At 35.1% G+C, this 7,155-nt stretch overlaps 1 pseudogene; it reads right to left on the bottom strand.

Moving 5' to 3' along the window:
- On the bottom strand, positions 6,133–6,880 carry PPIHP2 (peptidylprolyl isomerase H pseudogene 2; annotated as a pseudogene).

The raw sequence follows: 7,155 nt of genomic DNA, 5'->3' as shown, positions 1-7,155 counted from the left end.
TGAATCACAAGGTCAGGAGTTTGAGAGCAGGCTGGCCAACATGGTGAAACCCTGTCTCTACTAAAAATACAAAAAATTAGCCAGGTGTAGTGGTGGGCACCTGTAATCCCAGCTACTCGGGAGGCTGAGGCAGGAGAATTGCTTGAACTGGGAGGTGGAGGTCGCAGTGAGCCGAGATCACGCCACTGCACTCCAGCCCTGGCGACAGATTGAGACTCCATCTCAAAAAAGAAAAAAAAAAAACAAGGAGAAATGAAGATATTTTCAGGTAAATGAAAACTGATTTTCTCACAAGGAGGCATAAACTGTGAAAAATGCTAAAGGAAATTATAAGTGCTGATGGAAAAATGATACCAGATGGAAACGTAAAGCTACAGAAGGAAATAAGAAGCACCAAAAAATAGAAAATATGAAGATAAATATAGATGACTGCATGAAACAACATGGAGAAACCATAACTTTATATTACTAAGTGAAATAAGACATTCTGAGATGATTCCAACTACATAACATTCTGGAAAGGTGAAACCATGAGGACAGTAGAAAGATCAGTGGTTGCTGAGGTGTTAGAGGACTGGTGATTAATAGGTGGAACACAGAGGATTCTTAGGACAGTGAAACTGTTCTATATCATACTATAGTTGTAGATACATGTATTTTGAATTTGTCCAAACCCATAGATTGTACGATACCAAGTGTGAACCCTAACGTAAGCTATGGACTTTGCATGATAACAATGTATCAATGTAAGTTCATCAATTATAACAAATATACTACTCACCTGTGAGATGTGATGGTATGGAAGCTGAGTATGTGTGTGGGCAGATGATATGTGGGAAATCTCTGTACTTTCTGTTCAGTTTTGCTATGAACCTAAACAATGTCTATTAAAAGACATTTTAGCCTAAGAGAAATAAAAACATATGGCCATAAGTTCCAGACCAGCCTGGCCAACACAGTGAAACCCCATCTCTACTAAAAACACAAAAATTAGCTGGGCATGGTGGCAAGCACCAGTAATCCCAGTTACTTGGGAGGCTGAGGCAGGAGAATCACTTGAACCTGGGAGGCAGAGGTTGCAGTGAGCCGTGATCATGCCACTGCACTCCAGCCTGGACAACAGACCTAGACTCCATCTCAAAAAAAAAAAAAAAAAAAAAGTACAGGAATGTTTATAGAAGCATTACTCATAAAAGCCAAAAAGTGGAAACAACACAAATGTCCATCAATGGAAAATGGATTAAAAAATGTGGAATCTATACAACGGAATATTATTTGGCTGTAAAAAGGAATGCAGCATTAATGGATGCTAAAACATGGATAAATCTCACAAACATTATTCTAGGTGGAAGAAGTCAGTCACAAAAGAATATGCATTATATTATTTCATTCATGTCAAAGTCTAGAACACAGAAATCTATAGCGATAGAAAGTAGATGTAGTTGCTTAAGGTTGAGGGTAGGCAGTGGGGAGATAGGCAGTCCTTAGGTAAAGGGTGTGGGGTTTCTTTTTGAGGTGGTGAAAATGTTCTAAAATTGACTCCATATCTGTGAATATACTAAAAAACTTTGAATTATACACTTAAATGGGGGAATTGAATGCTATGTAAATTAAATCTCAATAAAACTTAAAAAATAAAATGAGGGCTGGGTGTGGTGGCCCACACCTGTAATCCCAACACTTTGGGAGACCGAGGTGGGCTGATCACCTGAGACCAGGAGTTCAAGACCAGCCTGGCCAACATGGTGAAACCCCGTCTCTACTAAAAATACAAAAATTAGTCAGGCCTGGTGGCACATGCCTGTAATCCCAGCTACTAGGGAGGCTGAGGCAGGAGAATCACTTGAACCCAGGAGGCAGAGGTTGCAGTGAGCTGAGATCACGCCACTGCCATCTAGCCTGGGTGACAGAGCAAGACTCTGTCTCAAAAAATAAAATAAAATAAAATAAAAATAAAATAAATTAGATATGCCTACAGATGTATTTGAATGAATAAATATATCTTAAAAGAAAAAAATCCTGACATTACAAAGTGTTGGTAAGGATGTGAAGCAACTGGAATTTTCATCCACTGTGGTGGAAAATGTAAAATATTACAGCTACTTTGGGATTTTTGCAATCTCTTATAAAGTTAAACATTCACTTATGTGATTCAGCAATCCCACTTATAAGCATTTATCCAAGAGAAATAAAAGCGTAAGTCCACACAAATCTGTACAGAAGTAATTATAGTTGCTTTATTTACAGTGTAAAAATCAAGAAGTATCAAGAAGTAATTCAAATGTCCATCAACTTTTTAATGGATAAACAAATTGTTGTACATCTATACAATGAATAGCATTTGGAAATTGCCATACAACAACAAAGTTGAATCTCACATGCATTATGCTAAGTGAAAAACACCAGACTGAAAAAGCTACATACTGTATGGTTCCATTTATATGTTATTTTGGAAAAGGCAAAACTGTTTTTAAAGGATATAGTCAATAGTTGCCAGAGGTTGGGAGTGGATAAAGGTGATTGAATCCAAAATATAACAGGAAACTACTGGGTGTAATGAACAAGTTTTATATTTTTATTTCAGTTGTGATTACATAGATGCATGTATTTGTTAAAAATCTTTGAGCTGTACCACTAAAAATGACAGTTTTATGTATGTAAATTATAACTCAAAAAACCTAACTGAAAAAAAAATCAATACTAAGACCTGTTTTATTATACAAAGACAGAATTTACTTCAGGCATGCTGGGAAAGTTTAACATGAAAGTTTAATATGAGGTAATTATTAAAGTAATTCATCACATATGATTTTGATGGAAACCTGAAAGGCAATTGGTAAAACTGAAAATCTAATCTCCATTCATAAAAGCATTTAAAGGATGAATTTGAGAAAACTTTTCAAAGATTCTTAACACAGTTTTCAAAATAGAAACAAAATAAATATTTAGTATAAAACCTAATAGAACCTATATGGAAGAAACTATAAAACTTGGAGTCATGTAAAATTACACAAGATATAATGGAAAAACACTATTTTCCTTTCCTTTCTCTTTTCTTTTCTTTTTTTTTTTTTTGAGATGAAGTCTCACTCTGTCGCCCAGGCTGGAGTGCAATGGTGTGATCTTAGCTCACTGCAATCTCTGCCTCCCACGATCAAGCAATTCTCCTGCCTCAGCCTCCTTTGTAGCTGGGATTACAGGCACGCACCACCATGCCTAGCTAATTTTTGTATTTTTAGTAAAGACGGGGTTTTGTCGTGTTAGCCAGGCAGGTCTAGAACTCCTGACCTCAGGTGACCCTGCCTGACTCGGCCTCCCAAAGTGCTGGGATTACAGGTGTGAGCCACTGCACCCAGCCTGAAAGACACTATTTTTCCAAAGGAGATGACCCTATAGTGTATATCTGGATCTTTTTTTCCAAATTAGCATAAAAATATAAATAATTTTTTTAACTTTTCAAAATAATTCTAAATGTTTCAGTGGAGGACTACATGTGTAAGATTTGTCAAAGATTGAAGAAATTACTGAGTAAAGACTTGCCCTATGAGATAGTAAAAGTATGTAGAAACCACAGTAATTTCAATAGTCTGCTAATGGCATGAGATTGGTGGGGAAATCCATGAAACAGAAAAAAAAGTTCATCATAAACTTATCAAAGTTAGTTCATGCAACAGTCGCATTTTAAGTTAGTGGAGAAAAAAACCTTGTTCATCTAGTCAATGGTGCTGGGAATTGTGTAAATGATTGTAAAAGTTAAAAAGATAAATACTGCAAGTTCTCACTTGTATGTGGGAGTTAAAAAATTTGATCACATGGAGGCAGAGAGTGTAAAGATAGGTAACAGAGACTGGGAAGGGTGAGTGGGGGGATGGGGAGAGAATAAAGAGAATGGGTTAAAGGGTACAAACATACAGTAGGAGAGAAGGAATAGATTAAATGCTTGATAGCAGAGTAGGGTTACTATAATGAACAAAAAATGTATTGTATTAGGCGATGGACATCTTAAATACCCTGACTTGATCACTATGCATTACATACACGTATCAAAATTTCTCATGTACCCAATACATTTATACAAACAAACAAAAACAAGAAAATTAAGCAAAAAAAGAAAAAAAAACCTTTGCTTACCAAAAATAAATGATGATAAAAATACAAGTATGCTTTGTATTTTCAATTCATAAGTATTAATTTCAGATACATATATAAGTATAAATGAAAGAGGCAAACCATAAAATAAAATATTAAAAGCTATGCTCACATTAAAAAAGTATATACTAAAAATAAAAACTCAACTTTAAAGAAAAATAAACAGAAAAATTTATTCTGTATATGGTAGGCTAAATGTTATTATCATTAATACTAAATATATATTAAATATATTAACTATCTCATTCTATACCTAAGTCCCCCAAAATAAAATACAATTGCAGGTAAAGAAACAAAGGTTGAAAAGAAAGAAAAGTAAAATAGACAGCCAATTAATATTAAAAATATTTTCAACCAAAGAAGTGCAAAATGAATCTATGATATTATTGTAATTATTGTTGTTTTGTGTTATTTAAATTAGAAAAATTAAAAGAAAAATTATAGCACTGCATTTGCTCTGTAATAAGTACGCTTTTACATTGCTGGCAAGAACGCAAATTTGTTCAGAGTTTTAAAAGAAAATTTGGCAATATGGATCAGTAAGTCTTAAAAATACATATTTCTCTTGTTTCTATTATTATTATTCCATTACTAAAAATTTATGCTAAGAAAGGATCAGAAATTGGTGTATCCTCATTGCAACATTATTGTGACATAAAATATATTGTAACATTCAAAAATTACTGTCCTCAATAATATTTCATGGCATTGGAAATTCTCAAGTTATATTATCAAATGAGAAAATTAAGTTACAAAGAGTATGTGCACTTGAGGCTAAACTCACTTTGAAAATTTCAGCAGTGAGCTATCCTCTTTCTACATATTAACAGCATATACTCCTTAAGGTTAACTGTGGTTACTATGTCTATGTGGTAGAACTAAGGTTGTTTGAGATTTGTGGAAAGAATAAGCAGAATATGGTTGGAAGATAATAAGATATAAATAAAAGGAATGTAAAAAATTTAGAACCCAACATTGAAGGAAGAAAGTGGTAGAAAATTATCATGCAATTTTGTTAATTTCCTAGTAGCTCTTAGGATTCTAAGAACAGGTGAGAAGTTGGTGGCCCAGGTTTGTGGATGACATGGGGGAAATGGTAAAGGCCAAAAGTCTGACTCAGTCTGACCATGCAAGGATATCAATTAAAGCACTTAATAGTTTCTAAACTGTAGACTTTGTTTCTACAGGCTAGTTAGGGAAGCCAATGATATTAAAAACTGTTGTGATCGACTTAGAAAATACTGTAAGAGCAAGGGACCAAAGATCATAATGAGGTATTGAAATGTAAAAGACGCTGGATAACCAAAGCAATCTGGAGCAAAAAGAACAAAAGATGGTGAGAGGCATCATACTACCTGACTTCAAAATATTCTACAAATCTATTGTAACCAAAACAACATGGTATTGGCATAAAAGCAGACACATAGACCAATGAAACAGAATAGAGAACCCAGAAATAAATCCATGCATGTATAGCCAACTGATTTTCAACAAAGGCACCATGAACATGCATGGGAAAAAAGGACAGTCTCTTTGATAAATAGTGCTGGGAAAACTGGATATCCACATGCAGAAGGAGGAAACAAGACACCTATCTCTCACTATATACAAAAATCAACCCAAAATATATTAAAGACTTATATGTAAGTCCCAAACTATAAAATTACTAAAAGAAAATACAGATAAATGCTTCATAAAATTGGACTGGGCAAGGATTTTTTTAATAAGAACTCAAAGGCACAGGCAACAAGAGTAAAAATAGACAAATGAGATTACATAAAACTAAAAGCTACTGCATAGCAAAGGAAATAATCAATGGAGTGAAGAGACAATCTATAGAGTGGGTGAAAATATTTGCAAACTTTTCATCTGAGAAGAGACTAATAAAATATGTAAGCAACTCAACTCAATAGCAAGCAACCAAATAATCCTATTAAAAATGAGCAAAAGGTCTAAATAGACATTTTTATTTATTTTTTTAAACATACAAAAAACTTTATTTACAGTTGAAAACCTAAACACAATCTTGGATCCTGAATCTCTGATACTGCTAGAGTCTGTTGATCAAATGGCGTAGCAGCAGGCAGGGAAGCAAACACAGGGGCCAGTCCAGATTATCTTACTCAAGAACATTGCCAAGAGGAAGTGAAAGTCTGATTCAGTCTTGGTCTGAACTACATCTCCCCACACCGTGAGATCACCATATGTACCTTGGCCTTATTATTGGTGCCTGTGGGAACATTTTCAATCTTTCTTATCAGTAGAAGTCCATCAGTGATTTTTCCAAACACTACATGCTTCCCATCCAGGCCATTGCACTTAGAGCGGGTGATAAAGAACTGACAGCCATTTGTACTGGGACTGCTGTTCACCATGGAAAGCAGGACCGGAGCTGGGTATCTGATTTTAAAATTTTCATCTGCAAATGGTCCCTGGTAAATGCTGGTGACTCCAGTAACATCTCCATTAACAAAATCTCCACCCTGAATCATGAAATCCTTTATGACCCTGTGAAAGGTGCTCCCTTTGTATCCTATTGGAACCCGATCTTCTCTGAATTCTCCAGTGCAGAACTGCCCAAAGTTCTCAGCTGTGTTAGGCACAATGTCTACAAAGAGCTGGATCTTCATGTGGCCAACTTCCTGACTGACAATGCTGACATCAAAGAACACCACGGGGGCTCAGGGCTTGAATTTGCCACCACCATGGCTTTGACTCAGAAGCAGAAGTCTGACATTTTTCAAAAGAAGACATACAAATGGCCAACAGATATATGAAAAAATGTTCAACGCCACTAATCATCACAGAAATGCAAATGGGAACCACAATGATTTCATTTTACCCCAGTCAAAATGACTATTATCAAAAAAAAAAATGAAAGATAACAAGTGTTGGGAGGATAGGGACAAAAGAAAACCAACACTGTTGGTGGAAATGTAAATTAGTACAGCCACTGTGAAAAACAGTATGAAGGTTCCTCAAAAAATTGAAACTATAATTACCATA

The sequence above is a fragment of the Homo sapiens genome, chromosome X (assembly GCF_000001405.40).
Source record: "Homo sapiens chromosome X, GRCh38.p14 Primary Assembly".
Lineage (NCBI taxonomy): Eukaryota > Metazoa > Chordata > Mammalia > Primates > Hominidae > Homo > Homo sapiens.
Note: the sequence above shows the minus strand (reverse complement) of the source record. Positions and strands in the feature narration are given on the sequence as shown.